The 25,853-nt window shown below is 38.3% G+C and overlaps 1 protein-coding gene and 1 pseudogene across 13 annotated transcripts in view; one reads left to right on the top strand and one right to left on the bottom strand.

The window, feature by feature from the left end:
- Positions 1 to 25,853, bottom strand: part of SLC4A4 (solute carrier family 4 member 4) — a 509,424-nt gene that overhangs the window by 127,544 nt on the left and 356,027 nt on the right. For all 13 annotated transcript variants that reach the window (XM_024454268.2, NM_001440628.1, NM_001134742.2 and 10 more), the window contains one exon: positions 3,767 to 3,924. In XM_024454268.2, the coding sequence (XP_024310036.1) occupies positions 3,767 to 3,924 (158 nt within the window). The remainder of the gene's footprint in view (positions 1 to 3,766; positions 3,925 to 25,853) is intronic.
- LDHAL6EP (lactate dehydrogenase A like 6E, pseudogene) lies at positions 6,558 to 7,560 on the top strand (annotated as a pseudogene).

Below are 25,853 nucleotides of genomic sequence, written 5' to 3'. Positions count from 1 at the left end.
TAACAAATTAGAGTAAACATCACATTTGTGTGGCTGCAAGGGCACAGCCTACTTTGACAGCTTGGAAAAAAAAAGCATTAATTTATGTTACTAAGTTCTTTTTATTCACTCATAAATAAATAAGTCAGAGTTACAATTTTTAATAGCGTCTAGTTATCTGAATAATCTTCATGAGGCCCTTTTCTACTTTTCTGAGTTTTTTCATATAGTTAATTATGCCTGCGGAAGATGCCTCCAGCATTCTCCACAACAAAAGGATGTATTAACCAAATAATCTGTGTCCGGAACCAACGGCCTATACTCACATTCACAAAATAATTATAAGCAGAAACAGAGCATAATATGAGAAAAGGAGCTAGCCTTCCTAAACCACTTGATGTTTTCGGAAAAGATATGCACCCCCCTCTTTCCTGATACATCACAGCTATTTCTAGCATAAACTCAGCATGTACCAATCCTTTATATCCTTCTCTCAAAACAACAGTGAATTCAATAACCCATTATTCATCTTTATCAGCTTTGGAAAATGTGGCTAAACTGTGGCTTCCATAATGGATTCATGAGGACCACAAACCCACCATAACCAACTGCATTACATGCGGTAAATATTAATAGCAGCTAGCAATTAAACTGGTGGATGTGACAAAATTGAACTAGCAGGATCTCCATCCCAATCCCTCTAAGTTTTTTTAATGGCTTTGACAATTAATCACAAACTACTTCTTTTAGATAAATAATTATTTGTAACATATATATATTATCTTACAGTGCCACTAAGAGGGTAAACATTCTAAATTTTTAACAGTCTGGAGCTTACTTAATAACCAATTACCTTACATGTGCAAATCAAGATTAGAAAAGCACAAACTAGGGTTTTATTCTTCTTTATAAGAGAACCCTAAAACATTTTATTCCAATCTTTTCTAGAATCTCCCTAGGCTGTCCCTAAAACTCTTGTCTCAGATTCAGAAATCTATTTAAAGTTCTATTCCCAGCACTGATGCTGAATCTTCCCTTTGCCTTCATCTCTCAACTGCAAAATGGTATAAGAAGAACATTCATCCCCTATATAGCTCAAAAATATGAATGAGGCTGGGCACGGTGGCTCATGCCTGTAATCCCAGCACTTTGGGAGGCCGAGGCGGGTGGATTACTTGAGGTCAGGAGTTTGAGACCAGCCTGGCCAACATGGTGAAACCCCGTCTCTACAAAAATACAAGAATTAGCTGGGTGTGGTGGCAGGTGCCTGTTATCCCAGCTGCTCAGGAGGTTGAGGCAGGAGAATTGCCTGAACCAGGGAGGCGGGGGTTGCAGTGAGCCAAGATCACGCCACTGCACTCCAGCCTGGGTGACACAGCAAGACTCTATCACCCCCCTTCAAAAAATTTATATATATATATATATATATATATATATATATATAGAGAGAGAGAGAGAGAGAGAGAGAGAGAGAGAGTAGTGGCCTCTGTGGATAGACATAAGATGACAGCAAGCAAAGTGCCTGTAAGATACTAGGAAAATCATAAACATATCCTATCCAGTAACCAAAGATCAAAGAATAGGGTTTGTTTCCTTTCACATGAATGGCAAGAGGGGCCCCTACATAGATAGACATTCACCCGGTTGATAGTCATCCAGCTGTAAGTGGAGGCTAAAACAGATCAAGCAAGTAAGAGAGTAAATAATGAAATTGGTGAACTCCGCACAAGAAATGGGAGCTGCTAGAGCCATATTTCCTAGAAGGTGCATGGTAGTAATACTGTTTATTAGAAACAGAAATAATCATAATAATGGCAGCATAACTTTCCTCCACCTTTAAAAAGAAAAATGACCATAAAAAGATACACACAAACACAGATTTTTCAGGTTTCCTTTCAGTACGATAGAGTAGCATGCACATTAAAACATATCATGAAATGTACATGCAGTCCTTCACCATGCCTACCACATTCCTTGTGGGATTTCCTTTATTGGATTTCACAGGATGCAGCCACTGTAAATGACCCCACATTACCTACACACAAAAAGCTAATGAGACTCCCTACTCAGTGATTAAGGCTTGTACTAGTTCAGAGGACAGCAAATGGATGAAGCTATTTCCTGGAAAAATGTTAACATGCAAGGATATATCGTTCAGATTATTGCCCTGAAATAGTTATATAATATTATTGAATTACGTTGCCTTGAATTGCCTGGCTCCTTTTGCTAATTTAAGTGATGCTGTATTTTACCTCTACACTAGCCCTACCATCCATTATAAAAGAAAAAAGTTAGTGAGCCAGACAGAAAGAAATGATAAGCAGGACACAAAAAATGGTCATGATTTGCTCTCAATGAATGCGTATTTTGTTAAATAAAAGTCTTTTAAAGCATTTTTTATTTGTACCTTCTAAAGAAAAATGGTAATAAAAATGAAAAGCCAAGAGCAATTTTCTTTAACACTTCTGGGCATGTTTTTTTCTTTCAACCCCTAGTAAAGTTAGTCTAGAGAGACATAAATAAAGCCATAGGGGCACAGAGCTGGACTCCAGCCATTATCTGAGTCAGCTGTTCGCCAGGTGACTGCACAGATAGAACCACAAGGCTCTGCTGGAATGTTTTCAAGCAAAAAGCTACGTTACAGAAAACACAAATCATCATAATCCTATTAAGTGAATAAGCTATGATCATCTCTTTTCCACTGCTATTTGTCCAATAACAGCCCTATGTATCATTCCTATTTTAAGTGTCTAAGAAATATAAAAATGGGTTTAAAAAATACCTGTATGATGAGGAAGAATAGCCTGCAATCTATGAATTAAGAAGCCTAAAGGAAATTTTCTCTTAATTTTCCTCCTAACCAGGCTCTAAAGAAATCTTGAGCCTCTTTACACTGTTGGTTAATCATGCTCAGACCGTCTGAGCTGAGGAGGATCCATCTATCACTGAGGAGGATTCATAGCCCTTCCTGCTCACATGAGGAAACCTAAAGGAACCTGTCCTTGCCCTGGAACCCACAGAAAACAACTCCCCCACCCCCCATCCCAAAAAAAAGTCCTATTCATATTTTAATTTTCTGTCAACCTGAAGACTACAAGTTTTCTTTAAACTGTCTGCAGCACAAATTTAAGTGAAACATTAACTTCTAGTCAACTAATTGCACTCCCAGGTCAAGCTTCCTAACTCTGTGGAGCTCAGTTTCAGAGGCGGATGAAGAGGATGACTTCTCAGGTACTATGCAGTGAAATGAGTACGTGATTATAATAACATTAATATACTTCACTTTAAAACAAAAATTTGTGACACAACATTTAATAGTGAAGTATGCAAACTTAAGTATACAGCTTGATGATTTTAATATATATATGTGTGTATAAACCTACTACCAATTTTCTGATAAAACAGAGTAAATGAAAGCAACTATGACCTCTGAACCATTTACTAACTGTATGACCTTGGACAAATTACTTAAACTCTTAGACCTTTTTTCATCTGTAAAACCAGATAACTATAGTTTGTCCCTTAAAATATTATTGTAAGGATTAAGTAGAATAATCCAAAAGAAGAACCTAGTACACTGCCCAATAAACTATTATAATTGCTATTATTATTACTATATAAGTGCCAAGAAATTTGACAGTATAAAAGTCAAACAGTCATTATTTCAAGTTAAACCTCTCCAATGTGTTTGCACTAAATATTTCCTCATTCTATTGATTCTCCAGCCTGAATGGGAGGAGATAACCCTATTAGCACATTGTAGACCCCAGGTAGGAGAGCAGCTTACCTTGTGGGCACAGGAACTTCAGTCAGGGCACCCAGCATGACAGCCTGCTGTAGCCTAACAAAGGCAATGAAAGGAGTATCCAAAAAGTCAACCTCCCCAACAAGCACGTTGGAAGCTTCTGCATCACGTGGCAATTTTTTCATGAACTTATTCTTCAGCTGCATGAGAAGAACCAAGGAAACACAATTTAGTTCCACAAGGTTCCTGTGGAATTACTATTAGTTCCAGAGAAGGGAACAAAAAGGGCCTTCCCATGTATCACTCACAGGAAATTCCTTTTTACAAATTGACATGCAACATGTTCTAGCTAGCCACTTTTACATTATGTTTAAACATTATATTATAGTAAACATTTATCTGTACCTTGAATTCAAAAATATTGAGGGATTAATCACATGGTTTACATATAAAACAATAATGTATCATACAACTCCATTCATTTATATATTCATTCACTCAACGAAAAGTTGTTGAAAATCTACTATAAGCCAGGCAATACTATAAGCCTTAGGGAAACAGGGGTGGATAGATTAATTACATGCCCTCTTTAGACTCATATTACCACAGAGGAAAAATAAAATATAAAGTGCTGATAAGTACTAAGAAAAAAAAATAAAACAAGTAAAAAAGGTACTATCTTAGACAGGGTGATAGGGGAAGGCCTCTGAAGAAATACATTTGACACTGGAGTAAAGATACAAGCTATGCAAAAATTGGAGGAAAGAACATTCTAGGCCAAAAGAATGGGAAATGCAAAGACTTTGTGAGAAGAAGCTGCTTGGCAGTTACAAGATAAGAAAGAATCCAAATGTGGTGGAAGCTGAAGGAACAAAGGAGAGAAAACAGCAGGCAAAGAAGTTGCATAGGTAAGGGGTGAACCAGATTGTAGGACCCAATAGGCTACAATAAGGAGTTTTGGAAGTTTTAGGCAGGAATTACCTACCAAAAGCCCAAGCAGAAAGACGGAGAGGGAAGACGTAAATTTGAGAGACATCACCATGTAAACAGTATTTGGTACCATAAGAAAGGATGGCACAATCCTGGCTGTGAGTGTAGATAGAGCAGAGGGGTAAGAGTTAAGTCCTGGGTCACCCTAATTTGTATAGGAATAGGAGAAGATATAGGCAGAGAACACTGAAAAAGGGGAGGAAAACCAAGACTTCACCAGTAGCCAGGTGAAGAAACAGCTCAATAAGGAGAGTGAATCAGTTAAATCACAGGCTGCTGAAGGTTCAGGTAAGATGGGAGCTAAGAATGGACGAATAAATTTGGCAAGATGGAGGTGCTGGGGATTTTCTTTTCTTTTTTTTTTTTTTTTTTTTTTTTTTTTTTTTTTTTGAGACAGAGTCTTGCTCTGTTGCCCAGGTTGAAGTGCAGTGGTGCAGTGGCGCGATCTCGGCTCACTGCAACCTTTGCCTCCCGGGTTCAAGTGATTCTTCTGCCTCAGCCTCCTGAGTAGCTGGGACTACAGGTGCACATCACCATGCCTGGGTAATTTTTTCGTCTTTTAGTAGAGAGAGAGTTTCACCATATTGGCCAGGCTGGTCTCGAACTCCTGACCTCGGGATCCACCCGCCTCAGCCTCCCAAAGTGCTGGGATTACAGGCGTGAGCCACTGTGTCTGGCTGGGGATCTTGACAAGAGCTGTTACAGTGGACACCAGAGAGTAAAGATAATTGTTTTGAGAAATGTTGCTATCAAAAAAAGCTGAGAAATGGGGAAGCTAGGGGAGGAGAGAATAAAATAGATTTCTTTCTTTTTTTTTTTTCTGAGATAGAACTATTATATTTACAAATAGAATGCATCCTGATACCAAATATTAAACAACTGGTTGAGAAGTGAAAAGATTCCATCAAATTTCTTATTTGGGATAATATAAATAGGTAAACACATATTAAGACTTGCCAACTTAAAGAAAATGTAGTTTAACCATTCATAAGGCAAAATTTCAGTATATTAGAGAAATATCATTTTAATTCATGGGTTAAGCCTTCTTGTTTTTCATAGTCCTCACTTTTTAATTATAAAGGAGATGGTGATTGGGGAAAGAGGCAGATATTTGATTTTGAATAAATGTTATTAAAGTTCTGGTAGAAGGATTTGAGATTATCTAAACATTACTAGTTATCGAATGATTGCATTTATCCATGACTATCTTATCTTCAAAAAAGCAGATAATTGAGGACTTCTAAGCTTTTATTTCTTTAATTTTTAATGCATCATTTTCATGAAGAAGGAAAAATCAGAAGACTTGGTTTTGTCACTGACTCAGTGACATAGTTTGTCAAATAGTTACAATACTCTTTTTAAAGCTCCCTAGACTTTTCACCCTGACTTTCTCACAGGAACCTTGTAAAGTAGTTAGGACAAGTCTTATTATCACATTGTAATATTGACTTTTTAAAAGAAGCTCACATAGTCAAACTTCTTCAAAGTCCAAGTGTGGAGTGGAGATTGGAATTCTCATCTCTTTGTCTTTGCATCTATCGTACTTAGTTTCAGCGTGTTTGAGCACCATGACAAAAATAATTGCAAAGGTGCAGCGCTTCTCTAAGCAACAAAATATGGCACTTTGAAAGGCAAAGCTAAAATTACTTTTGGCCTTAATGATCACAGTCCATTTTTTCGGAACCGTCTTAATGGTGTAAAAAATACCACATATTTGTAAAACTAAAAATAACATATTAAGGGGCCAGGTCTCTGTGAGCCCTGCACGAGCTGGGAGTGGCCTTGCGCAGCCACAGTAGCAAAGGGCGAGGAGGCCTTCAAACCGTCAGGGTTTCTTCCACACCTCAAGGAGATTTCTGCCGCTGCTTTCATCCATTTGCCTCTTGCGTGAGCTAACGACCATGAGCTGAGCTGCAGGAGTTCTGCCCACCAGCAAGAGAATAGGTGCTGCAGGAGCTCATTTCCTTTGTTGGGGGCTGGCTCAGTGCCCCCACGAGGCCACACACATCCCACTCAGGGGCGGCTGGACCTTCACTCCCATTTCCAAGATGGTGACTGTCAAGCTTGAACTTGCCAAGAATTTCACTTTGGAGGGGGCCGCTCATCCCAATAAGATCTCCATTATAGGAACTGGATCAGTTGGCATGGCCTGTGCTCTCAGCATCTTATTAAAAGGTTTGGGTGATAAACTTGCCTTTGTGGATGTTGACGAAGGCAAATTGAAGGGTGAGACAACGGATCTTCAACATGGCAGCCCTTCCATAAAAATGCCAAGCATTGTTTTCAGCAAAGACTACAGTGTCACTGCAAAGTCCAACTTAGTCATTATTACAGCAGGTGTTCCAGCAAAAGGAGAAACACACCTTGATATAGTCCAGTGAAATGTGATCATTTTTAAATTAATTATTTCCAGTATTACCCGATGCAATCCCCACCACAAACTGATAGTAGTTTCTAATTTACTGGATATTGTAACTTATGTATTCTGGAAATTGAGTGTATTTCCCCAAAACCGTGTTATTGGAAGTGGCTGTAATCTGGACACTCCCCATTTCCGTTTCTTCACTGGGCAAAGGCTTGATATCCACTCTGAAAGCTGTCATAGGTGGATTCTTGGACAGCATAGGGACTCAAGTATTCCTGTGTGGAGTGGAGTCAATATTGCTGGCATCCCTCTGACGGATCTGAACTCAGATATAGGAACTGATAAAGATCCTGAACAGTGGGAAAAAGTCCACAAAGAAGTGATTGCCTGTGGCTATGAGATAGTTAAAATGAAAGGTTGTACTAATTGGACCATTGGCCTATCTGTAGCTGATTTAACAGAAAGTATTTTGAAGAATCTTTTTTTTTAATAGAAAACAACAGTAAACATTTTTTAATAGGCAAACTCATTTCCCATTGAAATGTCTTTCACTGCAGTGGGAAAGAGCAGCCACACATAGCCTGGGTTTTAATGACATGACACTGTCAATGGGAAGTTACAAGGAGAAAAAAAAAAGGTGCATTTGATTTATTACTGAATTCTGGAAGGATTATGGACAACTTGTCAGAATTTATTTCAAATGAATATTTGTTGAGAATTAATTATCTCTAAGTCATTAAGCAATTAAATGAATCTAGAAATCCATCAGAGGAATTATCTTTGCATCTCCTAAGTAGTAGCCAGCACTGACTTTGGTCTCTGTTTCATACTGGTCAATAATTCACATTGTATGAGCTGATTAATCTAGTCATGTTTTACTATTAGGTTAGTGCAAAAGTATTTTTTATACTTTAAGTTCTGGGGTACATGTGCAGAATGTGCAGGTTTGTTACATATGTATACACGTGCTGTGGTGGTTTGCTGTACCCATCAACCTGTCATCTACATTAGGCATTTCTCCTAATATTATCCCTCCCATGACCCCTGACCCCCTGACAGGCCCCAGTGTGTGATGTTCCCCTCCCTGTGTCCATGTGTTCTCATTGTTCAACTCCCACTTACGAGTGAGAACATGCAGTGCTTGGTTTTCTGTTCTTCTGTTAGTTTGCTGAGAATGATGGTTTCCAGCTTCATCCATGTCCCTACAAAGGACATGAACTCATCCTTTTTTATGGCTGCATAGTATTCCATGGTGTATATATGCCACATTTTCTTTATCCAGTCTATCATTTATAGGCATTTGGATTGGTTCCCAGTCTTTGCTATTGTGAACAGTGCCACAATAAACATACGTGTGCATGTGTCTTTATAGCAGAATGATTTATAATCTTTTGGGTATATACCCAATAATGGGATTGCTGGGTCAAATGGTATTTCTAGTTCAAGATCCTTGAGGGATCACCACACTATCTTCCACAATGGTTGAACTAATTTATGCTCTCACCAACAGTGTAAAAGCATTCTTATTTCTCCACATCCTCTCCAGCACCTGTTGTTTCCTGACTTTTTAATGATCGCCATTCTAACTGGCATGAGATGGAATCTCATTGTGGTTTTGATTTGCATTTCTTTAATGACCAGTGATGATGAGCTTTTTTTCACGTTTGTTGGCCGCATAAATGTCTTCTTTTGAAAAGTGTCTGCTCATATCCTTTGCCCACTTTTTGATGGGGTTGTTTGTTTTTTTCTTGTAAATTTGTTTAAGTTCTTTGTAGATTCTGGATATTAGTCCTTTGTCAGATGGATAGATTGCAAAACTTTTCTCTCATTCTGTAGGTTGCCTGTTCACTCTGATGACAGTTTATTTTGCTGTGCAGAAGCTCTTCTGTTTAATTAGATCCCATTTGTCAATTTTGGCTTTTGTTGCCATTGCTTTTGGTGTTTTAGTCATGAAGTCTTTGCCTATGCCTATGTACTGAATGGTAATGCCTAGGTTTTCTTTTATGGATTTTATGGTTTTAGGTCTTACATTTAAGTCTCTAATCCATCTTGATTTAATTTTTGTATAAGGTGTAAGGAAGGGATCCAGTTTCAGTTTTCTGCATATGGCTACCCAGTTTTCCCAACACCATTTATTAAATAGGAAATCCTTTCCCCATTGCTTGTTTTTGTCTGGTTTGTCAAAGATCAGATGGTTGTAGATGTGTGATGTTATTTCTGAGGCCTCTGTTCTGTTTCATTGTTCTATATATCTGTTTTGGTACCAGTACCATGCTGTTTTGGTTACTGTAGCCTTGTAGTATAGTTTGAAGTCAGGTAGTGTGATGCCTCCAGCTTTGTTCTTTTTGCTTAGGATTGTCTTGGATATGCGGTTCCATGTGAACTTCAAAGTAGTTTTTTACAATTCTGTGAAGAAATTCAGTGGTAGTTTGATGGGAATAGCATTGAATCTATAAATTACTTTGGGCAGTATGGCCAAATTTTCACAATATTGATTATTCCTATTCATGAGCATGGAATGTTTTTCCATTTGTTTGTGTCCTCTTATTTCGTTGAGCAGTGGTTTGTAGTTCTCCTTGAAGAGGTCCTTCACATCCCTTTTAAGATGTATTCCTGGGTATTTTATTCTCTTTGTAGCAATTGTGAATGAAATTTCACTCATGATTTGGCTCTCTATTTGTCTATTATTGGTGTATAGGAATGCTTGTGATTTTTGCACATTGATTTTGTATCCTGAGACTTTGCTCAATTTGCTTATCAGCTTGAGGAGATTTGGGCCTGAGATGATGGAGTTTTCTAAATATACAATTGTGTCATCTGCAAACAGAGACAATTTGACTTCCTCTTTGAATAATCTTAAGAGGGTGCATCCAGTTTCCATCATAATTGAGAGCTTTTATGGGATAAATGAAGTAACATTCCTTAGCATTCCTTGTATCCTAGGACAGAATAGTACTACAGATCTTATAAAGATAAAGGTGACTTCTGAAGAGGAGGCCCAGTTGAAAGAGAGTGCTGAAAGACTTTGGGAAATTTAGAAGGAGCTCAAGCTTTAAAGTTGTTTAAAGCTACCAGTCTGAAGGGTTTTTTTTGTTGTTTTTTGGTAGCAATCATTTTATTTTAAAAATTGTTGTATTATGTTAGTTTTATACTTTTTACCTGAGAAAAATTTCAAAAGTAGCTGTAAAATAGAGTATGTAATAACAAATTCCTGTGTATCAACCACTCAACTTTATCAGATCTTACCCTTACGTCATGTTTGTTTCAATCTTCATTTTTAAAGAAAAAACATCCCACACCAACAGTTGAGTACATCCCAACTCCATTTCCTTCACTTTTTCCCTAGGGTTCTAAAACCAGTGTTTATAATTATCATGTAAAATGTATTATACATGTGTATGGGCATACACATGATATAGTATTGTTTCTCAGGCATTCAAGCTCTTTATAAATAGTATCATACTCAATGCATCATACTTTACCTTGCTTTTCTAATTCAACATTATGCTTTTGAGAGAAATCCACACTGATGAAAGTAGCTCTACTATATTCATTTTAAGGGCTGCATACTACTTCACTGTATAAATATACCACAACTTATACATCCTACTATTTGGCAGTTATAAATATCTCTGCAGTGTTGGAATGAACACCTTATAATATTTTCCTTATGACCTCAATATTTGAGATTGTTTAATATGTATAACTAAAAGTAGAATTCCTGAGTCTTAGAGAAGTTCCTCCTGCCTCCCAGCTAAAGACTTCATGACTAAAACACCAAAAGCAATAGCAACAAAAGCCAAAATTGACAAACGGGATCTAATTAAACTAAAGAGCTTCTGCACAGCAAAAGAAACTATCATCAGAGTGAACAGACAACCTACAGAATGGGAGAAAATTTTTGCAATCTATCCATCTGACACAGGGCTAATATCCAGAATCTACAAGAAACTTAAACAAATTTACAGATTTCTTTTTTTTATGGCAGATATTACAGCAATTTTGGAATGTGAGAATGATCTAGTAGAGACAGGTTAATGCTGCAGGAGAGATAGGGGATAAATGCAGAAGCAGTTTAAGTATCTTTAAACTACTGAAAAGAGACAATATCCAAATCACAGGCAGAAAAGTTAGCTTTAGATGGGAACACACAGAGTTTATCAATACTAACTAGGGAAGGCAGACTAGATGAGACTAATGGGGGTGATTGGGAGATTTGGCGGGATTATGATGCAGGTTTCTGAGGACTTATTTTTGCAGTGAAATACTAGTAAGCTAATGGTGAGGGGGAGGAAGTTGTGTGAGGTTTTGAGAAAAGAAGGCACAAAGTGGTTTTCTTGGAGAATGAAGGCTGCTTAACACAGTCACTTTGAAAGCTTATCTTATAGGTGTTATTCTGCAGTACAGCTTAAGGAAAATAATTCAACAATTATAGAAGAATGGAGATAAGAATTTCGGAAGACCATTCAAAAGACACAGACTTCTGATATATACTTATCCAATATAAATGTCTCTCCCCTCAAATCAAAAGTACCAGTGAACTTAACATTTTATACAATGGATTGTTGTGGAGATGGAAGTGGCAGGCATGACCCCATTTCCCCATTAATAAAAAGGTTATACCAACATTTTCAACTTCCATTTCAGAGTTCTTAATTAGGGAAAATAAGTGGCATGAGAACTAATCCCTAAGCTCCATCACCCTCTGTAGGCTTTTTAAAGATTTTTTTAAATTTGATACTTCATATAAGAAGAAAGCTGAGACAAAAAAGCAAGGAACTTAGGGCTAAGAATTTAGTGGAAACCAAGAAAGGAAAAAGAAAAAAAAGCAAAGAGAAGGTATATATATCTTACATGCTACAAACAAAATCACTTCTAAGCAGTAGGGAATTTTCCAAAGTTTCTCCCATTAATCCTTCAAGAAATACTAATATTTTTAAAAAAATTTACATCTTACAGATATGAAAAGAATATCCATGGGAAGGGCCTAAAAAAACATCAAGTTGCCAAGACTGTTATTATTACCTAAGGAAGTTGCAATTATAAATTGTCCCCTATAACACAGAGCAGAGTGTGGAATATGGCCAAGTGGCCCAAAGTGACACAACATTTCTAGAATAATCTTCCTCAAACTCTCTCCAGAGAGAGTTCCCGTTATTAACACAGAACACAAAGCTTTCTAATAATCTGATTTTACTTCCCATTTTCTCTAGCAGACTCCTTGCTCGAGTTAGGCAGGTGACCTGACCATAATCCTCTTCTGTTTTATATACTTACACTCCTACACTTCTTATCAAAAATTGCCTTTTCCTCACGTCTGCTTTTTATAAACAGCCTTTAGAGCTCAGCACAAGACTTCCTACTATCTCAGCCCAATTCCTTGGGAACTTCATAAGTGCTCATTTCTGAATCACATTTTTGCCAAAGTGTCTTTTCCCCAAGTTTCACAAGGTAAGATCAGTTCATTCTCCACTGTATCAAACATTTGCTTTGCATATCATTCAGCTGTAATAAATATTATGAAGGAATGGACTCTGTAGCACTAAAATCAGACCAAAAGACCATAAAATGCCCAAAAGAAGTGAGGATTTTAAGGTTCAATCTGGAACCTACTGACTGGATTTGTCACAGCAACTACCTGATTCACAACACATGCAGATTATCTCACAGTAGATTATATTCTTCCATAAATCATTTTACCAGTACTACAATCACTATACCCACACTAAAAAATTAGAAGTATATATTTTAAGGCAATAGCTAAGAGAAACCAATAGCTATTCTAAAATAAAAATGTGTGGTGCCTGAACAGCAGCTCTGCACATAATTCAGCTGTAATAAATATTATGAAGGAATGGACTCTGTAGCACTAGAAATCAGACCAGAAGACCATAAAATGCCCACAAAAATTCGGATTTTAAAGGTTAAATCTGGAACCTACTGCCCACACTCTACCCTCCATGTCCTCCATGGTCTTCTCCATGCCCACATTCTACTCTCTATGTCCTCCTTCAGACACACCAGGCACACTTGCCCCAGGTCCTTCACATCTGCTGTGTCCTCTGAATGGGATATATGCAGGGCTCCCTCCTTCACTTCCTTCCAATATTTAATTAAGTGACCTTCTCATCAGAGAGGCTTTCCCTGGACACACTAAAATTTTAACTCCCTTCTCCCCACAGATACTTCTTACTCTTCTGCTTTATTTTATCTGCCTTGTACTTATTGTAGTCAAACATACTGTTTTCCTTATCATTTTTATTCATTTTTATTAGAATGTTGCCTTTTTATTACACTGCAATGTAAGCTCCCTGGAAGAAGGAATATTCATTTATTTTGTTCAGTGTTAGGTCCCTAATGTCTAGAAAAGTGCCTGAGGGGCTGAGGAAAAACGTTCAATAAATATTTGTTGAATGATGAGTGATGGTTATTATTTCTGCTCTTCCCAACAAGCCTTCCTAACTCTCTTCTTAAAGAAGTGGGTTCTACACATCCTATCCAGGCCACATATGTGGACAAAAGACCTAGATATAGCCAATCTTAGTAAACTCCTCCCCTGACAAGAGTGGTTGGTCTACAGCATGGAGGCCAATCACAGGGATGAAACCTTTTGGAAAAATCAATATTTAGAAGTGTAGAAATCAACATGTTCCCTTTCAGCTGAGGTTGTTCCCCGTCGTGTTGAAAGGGCACAGGACTGTCCACACCAGGAAAGGGTGAGGTCAGCACCCAAAATGAAACCAGCAGAATCAAAAGAGGAAAATGGATGAAGAGAAAGACTGTTGAGTCCCCAGTCTCAGTCAGTGACATCCTGCAGCTTGTCTGTTCTGTGAACTCACCAAGAATTCTTCCCAGTTTCATAAGCCACTAAATCCCCTTTTGGGCTTCAATTAATTTGAGGTGCATTTCTGTCTACTGCAGAGCCCAGATACAAAAGTGTATTTGTCAGATAAATGTGAGGAACAGCAGGTTAAATGAAATTAAACAACTGTCTGTACTACAGATTTTTTTTTGGAAACTTTAGTATACCTAGGAATGCTTTATATCCCACTGGGAAATAAATAAAGCACATTATGATACAGAATCAGATTAGAAAATTCTGCTTTGGATGGAAATTTTCTCATCTTCCATCTAATCCTACTCTCAAATGTACTTAAATGTCCTCAGACTTTATGGGTGCCTACAATGTTCAAAGCTTAGTAATAAGAAGGCACTGTAGAAAACAGACACCCTGTAATGCTGCAATGAAAAAAGAAACATAAATACCATATAAAAAGTACACTGTCCAATGGGAGGTCACAAGACACACCAATCACACCTAGTAACAGAGTTCAAAAAAGGTTCTTCTCTAAGTCAAAGTTTAAAAATCTCTCCCATAATTTTGGCTCATCAAACACTGATTCACACATTATCTTTTCCAAGTACAATAACATCTCATAAAGGAAAAGTAATGGCTAAAGCATGAAAACCAATTCTAGGCTTACACAATAAACTGTGAACAATAATAAAGTACTAGAAAAAATGTAAAGATTAAACAAAGAGGTAAATAGGACCAGAAAATATAAAGAACAATAAAAGATAAAACAAGAATAGAATATACGGCTTTCATATCAGGTTGATATCGCTCAATAAATGCATTTGGACTGAATTCCTATGGTGAAGTTGAACATTCCTTTCTTATAGATTGTAAGTTGTTTCTTCAAAAAATAACCAGCCTGGATTTTATGCAGGGTCAACTACAAGAACACACAGAGTGAAAAACAAAAATTCCTTTAGCCAACCTAGGCTTCAGAGGAGTGAATTTTAAATGGCTGCCTTGTGGTACTACAATTATTCAAAAATACTTTGACTAGTTCACTGATTTTGTGATCTTTTGTCTTTACCAGGCTATTAACATCAGCTCTGTGAATCCAGATGTTACATTCCAGGTTCCTTTTACACTAGCCTGTATTCTTTCTTCCAGAGTATAGTGATGCTATAGTTACTCAGAAGTATATATTTTGCCTTCTGCTATAAATGTTTTATCTTACAATTTTTTTTAACCTTTCTTATTTTCTGAGTGGTTTTCCAACAACAACCCAGCTATCACAGTATTAGCATAAGAGGTCGCTTAACCTGAGATGACAGTTCTATGTGATGATGGAAAAGTTATTCATACACAAGTAATATGCATCACACATAGCTATTTTTAAAGTTCAATCTTTCACACTCCACTCAGGTCTTGGATTCTTCTGCCTTCTATGAAAGCAGTTCACATATTTTAGGTTATCTATATGGGTGGGATAATCATATCATTAATATTACGTCCTCCTAGCTTCCTTACCATTGCTCTCAGACCTGCAGCATCACCTGTAGATCCAGGATATTATAGTATTCCTCAGTCACTGGGCAGATATTTAAACACTACCTCCTTTTCTCTGCCATGTTTCTGCATGTGTTAAAATAATTGCATCAATAATAAAGTGTTATTTATAACCAGGAATACTCACAATTTGTCCTTTAAATCTAATTTACTAGAATGTTATCCTGTAGGCTCTTCAATGTCCTTGCTATAAATGATATTATAACATCATCTAAACTTGAGTATACTTTCTCGTTCTTTTTGCAAAGCTTATACCCATTGCTATCTCATTCTATACATTATTTTTTCCCCTCCATGATGATTTTAATCTTCAAATCTGTACCTGTTTTCTATTTACCCTGCCTCATGTCCACATGCTAACATTCACCTGTTTTCCTGGGCAAATATCTGATTTCTGGCATTCTTATTGTTCTTTCCTCTCTTCATTTCTTCTTCTTGGTTTATTTTCTCTTCGTCCTGCTAATTTTCTCCTGTCCCCCACCCTTCCATTGTCTTCGGGTATTTTCAGCTCTTATTTTTCAAACAAACTCATGTGGTAAGCTCAGAATCATTCAACGTCACCCAATTCCACGACCTTCCATTGCAGAAGGTATCTGTATCAGTAGTAAAGTAAGATCACCATACCTACCAGTTGGCCCATAACAGTCCCAGTTTACCCTATTGTCCTGGCGTAATGACTAATAGTACCTCTTTTCATTCTCAAAAATGTCTTGGTTTAAAAGGAAAATTATTATGGCCACCCTGCCTTTAAATCTCACTGAGACTGGCTTTTAGGCAGTGCTGAAAATAATAGTGTTAGAAAATAATTACATACTGTAGAATCTTAAGATCCAAGAAACTCAAAAGTGTAAGGGAGAGCCCAGGTCTAACAGCATCTTAGTAGGTTATTTATGCTCTCTGACTATGAATTTATTCATTTACCATATGCAAACAACAATATTAACTCTTAAGGTAGAAAGAAGTGTTCTCTCACCTTACCAGGTTCCGGCCTCTGCCTATTTATTCCTCTTCTCTGCACCTCAGGGAATGTGGCCAATTTGATGAATTAGAGTTTGATAAATTCAAGGGGACTTTCTTTCTAATGGGAAAATTAAAGTGTCATGAAGACAGGAAGCAAGCTGACTTCTTTCTCTTACAGTAAGACAATTAAATAGAAAAAAACAGACTTGACATCTTCATCTATGTGGCTGGTTAGATAAGTTTACTCGGAGTCTGTTTCATAGGCCCAACTATATTTCTCTATCATGGCGGGTATCTCTGAGACTGTGAATCCCAAGATTCAGATTCTGTGTGGATGGTTGTAAGCCTATGCACTTGGTGAACTATATTCAGCTTCCAATCAGCTTAATTCCAGGCTGAATATTAAGGTGACCTGCCCCTAACCCAAATGCCAGCCAAAAGCAAATACAATCTCTGAAGGAAGATAATATCATCTAGAGTATAAAATTATCTCTACTATGGATATTTTATATCTGACATTTAATCAGAAGTTGTTAGACATAACAGAAGACAAGATCAAATGACTGGAATCCCAAGAGGGGGTAAAAACAGAAATTAGAAATAACCTTAAAGGAGAATTATATACTATGGTTATCAGACACAGACTTTGAAATAACATCATATTTTTTAAATATTGATTTCAAGATGGGAATTTAAATGGAATCCATTTAAAAAACAAAATACTTGTCCTAGAGATAAAAATATTATATCATTGACTTGTTAAAGTCAATATTACTCATAATATGAACACATGACATATCAAAACTTGTGGAATGAAGCTGCAAACATGCATTCAGTAACATTCATGCCTTAACTGTCAATGTTACAAAAAAAGAAAAGCTAAAGTCTAATGATCTAAATATATTATCTTAACAAATAAGAAAACAGCAAATTAAATTCAAAGAAAGCAAAAGAAGAAAATAAAAACTAGAGATTAATGAATTTAAAAACAAATATATAACACTGCTCATGTTCTGTTTCATAATTTGAGTGACAATTATATAGGTGTGTTCACATTGTGAAAAATCATCAAGTAAACATGATTTTTGCATCTATCTATGCATACCCATATGTGTGTTTTACTTTAATAAAACATACTACAATGTATTTCTTAATAAATTCTTATTTCACTGCAAATATGGCATATATGTAGCACTCCCTTGGTGGGGAATACTTAAGGGTAATAAAGGACAGTGAAAAACTACAACCATATTTTACAGCTGTAACTCATAAAGATTTTTATAAAGATTAGAAGTTATAGGAATGTACACACCACACCCAAGCTATGTCTGAGTTGGTATCTTCCTGCCTTTACCCTCCAATGGTAATCAAACTCTAATATTCCATTACTTTAGATAAATATAATATAACCTTGGCAATTATATTTTTCTTAGGTTAAAATTAGCCTCCAACAAGGGCTGGGATGTAGAAGGAAGCCATCAAAGACAGCCTTGTGAAAATTTATCACTGGGACAGTTTTGAAATAGGTTTCACCTACCAAGAACTATACATATCTATGTGGAGCACACAGTATCAAACTCTGGAAATCTGAGAGCATGATGGTTAGAGACTAGTACGTTGCCTACAATTGGCTTCTTTGGTTAATAGAAGGCTGTTCCTATCTCCACCCTCCCCACACCTTTGAGCAGCATCCCCCTTATTCCATACATGGGGAAGTAGGCGGCTTATCTGAACTTTTTGAATTCTAAGACAATTATCCTACACCAGCTGTGTTTCGAGTATCAAGTGTAAACTAAAAATTCTAAGCCCCACAACCATCTAAATGGACCCCTCCTCTTGGCCAAGGGCATTCCAAAGTTAACCTGAAAAACTAGTTCAGACCATGATGGGAAGAGAGGGGTAAGACATGCCTCATTATACCCTCTTCCCCATGGAATTCATACACAAGTGACCAGCATTAACATTGAAACAGAGATTTTAAGACTTTTTGTAGCAATAAAAGAGTTTTATTGTAGCAATAAAAAAAATTCCAGCCTTACTTTAGTACAGCATCATATGGCACATAGAAGGCCCTGAAAGAAACTGAAGTATTTTACCCTAAAATATATTCCTTTGATATATTTTGAAATGGCCCTACAAAGCTATCTCTTGTGAGGATAATTGACATTCTATAGAGATTCCCTTTCCCTTTCCAGGTCTTTTCCCTGATCTTCTGGCACCTTTTTAAGTCTGCTAAGAAACATTTATAATCTATTCTCTCTGAAGCCTGCTACCTGGAGGTTTTATCTGCATAAGAAGAAACTTGTTCTCCACAACCCTTTATCTCAACCCAGATACTCCCTTCTATGGATTCTAGGTCTTTAGATAAACTCTTTCAACCAACTGCCAATCTGAAAATCTTGGAATCCATCTATGACCTGGACGCCCATCTCCCTGCCCCACCATCCACCCCCACTTTGAGTTTTCCTTGCTTTCTGGACTGAACCAATGTACATCTTACATGTATTGACTGATGTCTTGCATCTCTCTAAAATGTATAAAACCAAGCTGTAGCCGACCACCTTGCGCACATGTTGTCAGGACCGCCTCAGGCTGTCACAGGCATGTCCTCAATCTTGGCAAAATAAACTTATAAATTGATTGAGACTTGTCTCAGATACTTTTTGGTTTACACAAGACAGGAGTTTTTCCCACTGAAAGCTATATTCTAGCCTTTCACTGTAGAAGAGAAGGAAGACTCATGGTTCAGGTTTGGTTTCAAGTAAAAGAGCAAGCCTAGTACAACCACCAGCCTGTTTTGCTGCGAGGCTATTCTGAAGCAGAAGGCTCTATATAGTTTACCAGTGTTCTGCTTCTGGGTTTGAAGACAAAACCTCAGCCAACAATAAAGGGTTCCTTGGCCTTTGTTTCTCTGTGTACACATTTCTCCGATGATCTTCTGGAGAGAGTGTTGAGCTGAGGACAGGGCTTGCGTGTTCCTGAATAGCCTGGACAAATACCATCTTAAACACACCTCAACATTCCATTTCTAAATCTCGCTTCTTTGCATGGTTGCCGAACTAGGAAATGGTAGAAGAAGAAAAAGGATAAGAATCAGTATTCTCTAAACTTAATCAGCTATTACCTTTTATTCTTTTTTTTTATTATTATTATACTTTAAGTTTTAGGGTACACGTGCACAAGGTGCAGGTTAGTTACATATGTATACATGTGCCATGTTGGTGCATTGCACCCACTAACTCGTCATCTAGCATTAGGTATATCTCCCAATGCTATCCCTCCCTCCCCCGCCACTCCACAACAGTCCCCACAGTGTGATGTTCCCCTTCCTGTGTCCACGTGTTCTCATTGTTCAATTCCCACCTATGAGTGAGAATATGCGGTGTTTGGTTTTTTGTTCTTGCGATAGTTTACTGAGAATGATGATTTCCAATTTCATCCATGTCCCTACAACGGATATGAACTCATCATTTTTTATGGCTGCATAGTATTCCATGGTGTATATGTGCCACATTTTCTTAATTCAGTCTATCATTGTTGGACATTTGGGTTGGTTCCAAGTCTTTGCTATTGTGAATAGTGCCACAATAAACATACGTGTGCATGTGTCTTTATAGCAGCATGATTTATAGTCCTTTGGGTATATACCCACTAATGGGATGGCTGGGTCAAATGGTATTTCTAGTTCTAGATCCCTGAGGAATCGCCACACTGACTTCCACAATGGTTGAACTAGTTTACAGTCCCACCAACAGTGTAAAAGTGTTCCTATTTCTCCACATCCTCTCCAGCACCTGTTGTTTCCTGACTTTTTAACGATTGCCATTCAAACTGGTGTGAGATGATATCTCATTGTGGTTTTGATTTGCATTTCTCTGATGGCCAGTGATGGTGAGCATTTTTTCATGTGTCTTTTGGCTGCATAAATGTCTTCTTTTGAGAAGTGTCTGTTCATGTCCTTTGCCCACTTTTTGATGGGGTTGTTTGTTTTTTCTTGTAAATTTGTTTGAGTTCATTGTAGATTCTGGATATTAGCCCTTTGTCAGAAGAGTAGGTTGCGAAAATTTTCCCCCATTTTGTGGGTTGCCTGTTCACTCTGATGGTAGTTTCTTTTGCTGTGCAGAAGCTCTTTAGTTTAACTAGATCCCATTTGTCAATTTTGGCTTTTGTTGCCATTGCTTTTGGTGTTTTAGACATGAAGTCCTTGCCCATGCCTATGTCCTGAATGGTAATGCCTAGGCGTTCTTCTAGGGTTTTTATGGTTTTAGGTCTAATGTTTAAGTCTTTAATCCATCTTGAATTGATTTTTGCATAAGGTGTAAGGAAGGGAGCCAATTTCAGCTTTCTACATATGGCTAGCCAGTTTTCCCAGCACCATTTATTAAATAGGGAATCCTTTCCCCATTGCTTGTTTTTCTCAGGTTTGTCAAAGATCAGACAGTTGTAGATATGCGGCGTTATTTCTGAGGGCTCTGTTCTGTTCCATTGATCTAGATCTCTGTTTTGGTACCAGTACCATGCTGTTTTGGTTACTGTAGCCTTGTAGTATAGTTTGAAGTCAGGTAGTGTGATGCCTCCAGCTTTGTTCTTTTGGCTTAGGATTGACTTGGCGATGCGGGCTCTTTTTTGGTTCCATATGAACTTTCAAGATCAAGTTTTTTCAATTCTGTGAAGAAAGTCATTGGTAGCTTGATGGGCATGGCATTGAATCTATAAATGACCTTGGGCAGTATGGCCATTTTCACGATATTGATTCTTCCTACCCATGAGCATGGAATGTTCTTCCATTTGTTTGTATCCTCTTTTATTTCATTGAGCAGTGGTTTGTAGTTCTCCTTGAAGAGGTCCTTCACATCCCTTGTAAGGTGGATTCCTAGGTATTTTATTCTCTTTGAAGCAATTGTTAATGGGAGTTCACTCATGATTTGGCTCTCTGTTTGTCTGTTATTGGTGTATAAGAACGCTTGTGATTTTTGTACATTGACTTTGTATCCTGAGACTTTGCTGAAGTTGCTTATCAGCTTAAGGAGATTTTGGGCTGAGACAATGGGGTTTTCTAGATATACAACCATGTCGTCTGCAAACAGGGACAATTTGACTTCCTCTTTTCCTAATAGAATACCCTTTATTTCCTTCTCCTGCCTAATTGCCCTGGCCAGAACTTCCAACACTATGTTGAATAGGAGTGGTGAGAGAGGGCAGCCCTGTCTTGTGCCAGTTTTCAAAGGGAATGCTTCCAGTTTCTGCCCATTCAGTATGATATTGGCTGTGGGTTTGTCATAGATAGCTCTTATTATTTTGAAATACATCCCATCAATACCTAATTTATTGAGAGTTTTCAGCATGAAGGGTTGTTGAATTTTGTCAAAGGCCTTTTCTGCATCTATTGAGACAATCATGTGGTTTTTGTCTTTGGCTCTGTTTATATGCTGGATTACATTTATTGATTTGCGTATATTGAACCAGCCATGCATCCCAGGGATGAAGCCCACTTGATCACGGTGGATAAGCTTTTTGATGTGCTGCTGGATTTGGTTTGCCAGTATTTTATTGAGGATTTTTGCATCAATGTTCATAAAGGATATTGGTCTAAAATTCTCTTTTTTGGTTGTGTCTCTGCCCAACTTTGGTATCAGGATGATGCTGGCCTCATAAAATGAGTTAGGGAGGATTCCCTCTTTTTCTATTGATTGGAATAGTTTCAGAAGGAATGGTACCAGCTCCTCCTTGTACCTCTGGTAGAATTCGGCTGTGAATCCATCTGGTCCTGGACTCTTTTTGGTTGGTAAGCTATTGATTATTGCCACAATTTCAGATCCTGTTATTGGTCTATTCAGAGATTCAACTTCTTCCTGGTTTAGTCTTGGGAGAGTGTATGTGTCGAGGAATTTATCCATTTCTTCTAGATTTTCTAGTTTATTTGCGTAGAGGTGTTTGTAGTATTCTCTGATGGTAGTTTGTATTTCTGTGGGATCGGTGGTGATATCCCCTTTATCATTTTTTATTGTGTCTATTTGATTCTTCTCTCTTTTTTTCTTTATTAGTCTTGCTAGCGGTCTATCAATTTTGTTGATCCTTTCAAAAAACCAGCTCCTGGATTCATTAATTTTTTGAAGGGTTTTTTGTGTCTCTATTTCCTTCCGTTCTGCTCTGATCTTAGTTATTTCTTGCCTTCTGCTAGCTTTTGAATGTGTTTGCTCTTGCTTTTCTAGTTCCTTTAATTGTGATGTTAGGGTGTCAATTTTGGATCTTTCCTGCTTTCTCTTGTGGGCATTTAGTGCTATAAATTTCCCTCTACACACTGCTTTGAATGTGTCCCAGAGATTCTGGTATGTTGTGTCTTTTTTCTCATTGGTTTCAAAGAACATCTTTATTTCTGCCTTCCTTTTGTTATGTACCCAGTAGTCATTCAGGAGCAGGTTGTTCAGTTTCCATGAAGTTGAGGGGTTTTGAGTGAGTTTCTTAATCCTGAGTTCTAGTTTGATTGCATTGTGGTCTGAGAGATCGTTTGTTATAATTTCTGTTCTTTAACATTTGCTGAGGAGAGCTTTACTTCCAAGTATGTGGTCAATTTTGGAATAGGTGTGGTGTGGTGCTGAAAAAAATGTATATTCTGTTGATTTGGGGTGGAGAGTTCTGTAGATGTCTATTAGGTCCGCCTGGTGCAGAGCTGAATTCAATTCCTGGATATCCTTGTTAACTTTCTGTCTCGATGATCTGTCTAATGTTGACAGTGGGGTGTTAAAGTCTCCCATTATTAATGTGTGGGAGTCTCAGTCTCTTTGTAGGTCACTCAGGACTTGCTTTATGAATCTGGGTGCTCCTGTATTGGGTGCATATATATTTAGGATAGTTAGCTCTTCTTGTTGAATTAATCTCTTTAACATTATGTAATGGCCTTCTTTGTCTCTTTTGATCTTTGTTGGTTTAAAGTCTGTTTTATCAGAGACTAGGATTGAAACCCCTACCTTTTTTTGTTTTCCATTTGCTTGGTAGATCTTCCTCCATCCTTTTATTTTGAGCCTATGTGTGTCTCTGCACGTGAGATGGGTTTCCTGAATACAGCACACTGATGGGTCTTGACTCTTTATCCAATTTGCCAGTCTGTGTCTTTTAATTGGAGCATTTAGTCCATTTACATTTAAAGTTAATATTGTTATGTGTGAATTGGATCCTGTCATTATGATGTTAGCTGGTTATTTTGCTCGTTAGTTGATGCAGTTTCTTCCTAGTCTCAATGGTCTTTACATTTTGGCATGATTTTGCAGCGGCTGGTACCGGTTGTTCCTTTCCATGTTTAGTGCTTCCTTCAGGAGCTCTTTTAGGGCAGGCCTGGTGGTGACAAAATCTCTCAGCATTTGCTTGTCTGTAAAGTATTTTATTTCTCCTTCACTTATGAAGCTTAGTTTGGCTGGATATGAAATTCTGGGTTGAAAATTCTTTTCTTTAAGAATGTTGAATATTGGCCCCCACTCTCTTCTGGCTTGTAGGGTTTCTGATGAGAGATCCGCTGTTAGTCTGATGGGCTTCCCTTTGTGAGTAACCCGACCTTTCTCTCTGGCTGCCCTTAACATTTTTCCTTCATTTCAACTTTGGTGAATCTGACAATTATGTGTCTTGGAGTTGCTCTTCTCGAGGAGTATCTTTGTGGCGTTCTCTGTATTTCCTGAATCTGAATGTTGGCCTGCCTTGCTAGATTGGGGAAGTTCTCCTGGATAATATCCTGCAGAGTGTTTTCCAACTTGGTTCCATTCTCCCCATCACTTTCAGGTACACCAATCAGAGATAGATTTGGTCTTTTCACATAGTCCCATATTTCTTGGAGGCTTTGTTCGTTTCTTTTTATTCTTTTTTCTCTAAATTTCCCTTCTTGCTTCATTTCATTCATTTCATCTTCCATCACTGATACCCTTTCTTCCAGTTGATTGCATTGGCTCCTGAGGCTTCTGCATTCTTCACGTAGTTCTGGAGCCTTGGCTTTCAGCTCCATCAGCTCCTTTAAGTACTTCTCTGTATTGGTTATTCTAGTTATACATTCGTCTAAATTTGTTTCAAAGTTTTTAACTTCTTTGCCTTTGGTTTGAATTTCCTCCGGTAGCTCGTTGTTTGATCGTCTGAAGCCTTCTTCTCTCAACTCGTCAAAGTCATTCTCCGTCCAGCTTTGTTCCACTGCTGGTGAGGAACTGCTTTCCTTTGGAGGAGGAGAGGTGCTCTGCTTTTTAGAGTTCTAGTTTTTCTGCTCTGTTTTTCCCCCATCTTTGTGGTTTTATCTACTTTTGGTCTTTGATGATGGTGAGGAGCCAAGATGGCCGAATAGGAACAGCTCCGGTCTACAGCTCCCAGCATGAGTGACGCAGAAGACGGGTGATTTCTGCATTTCCATCTGAGGTACCGGGTTCATCTCACTAGGGAGTGCCAGATAGTGGGTGCAGGTCAGTAGGTGCAGCGCACCGTGCACGAGCCGAAGGAGGGCAAGGCATTGCCTCACTCGGGAAGCACAAGGGGTCAGCGAGTTCCCTTTCCTAGTCAAAGAAAGGAGTGACAGACAGCACCTGGAAAATCGGGTCACTCCCACTCAAATACTGCACTTTTCCGACAGGCTTAAAAAACGGGGCACCAGGAGATTATATCCCGCACCTGGCTCGGAGGGTCCTACGCCCACGGAGTCTCGCTGATTGCTAGCACAGCAGTCTGAGATCAAACTGCAAGGCGGCAGTGAGGCTGGGGGAGGGGCGCCTGCCATTGTCCAGGCTTGCTTAGGTAAACAAAGCAGCAGGGAAGCTCCAACTGGGTGGAGCCCACCACAGCTCAAGGAGGCCTGCCTGCCTCTGTAGGCTCCACCTCTGGGGGCAGGGCACAGACAAACAAAAGGACAGCAGTAACCTCTGCAGACTTAAATGTCCCTGTCTGACAGCTTTGAAGAGAGCAGTGGTTCTCCCAGCACGCAGCTGGAGATCTGAGAACGGGCAGACTGCCTCCTCAAGTGTGTCCCTGACCCCTGACCCCTGAGCAGCCTAACTGGGAGGCACCCCCCAGTAGGGGCAGACTGACACTTCACACGGCCGGGTACTCCTCTGAGACAAAACTTCCAGAGGAATGATCAGACAGCTGCATTCGCGGTTCATGAAAAACTGCTGTTCTGCAAACACCGCTGCGGATACCCAGGCAAACAGGGTCTGGAGTGGACCTCTAGCAAACTCCAACAGACCTGCAGCTGAGTGTCCTGTCTGTTAGAAGGAAAACTAACAAAGAGAAAGGACATCCACACCAAAAACCCGTCTGTACATCACCATCATCAAAGACCAAAAGTAGATATTACCTTTTATTCTAAGACTACATAGGAAAAAGTACCTTTAAATTTTTCTGTTAAATAAGGATATTATTTAAGTGTTGGTTAGGCTAATTTATGGGATAGGACTCTTTTGGTGTCATAAAAGAAAACCCCTGGGATA

This window comes from Homo sapiens, chromosome 4 (genome assembly GCF_000001405.40).
Source record: "Homo sapiens chromosome 4, GRCh38.p14 Primary Assembly".
In the NCBI taxonomy this organism is placed as follows: Eukaryota; Metazoa; Chordata; class Mammalia; order Primates; family Hominidae; genus Homo; species Homo sapiens.
The sequence above is the reverse complement of the archived record's forward strand: the minus strand, read 5'-3'. Positions and strand labels throughout refer to the sequence as shown.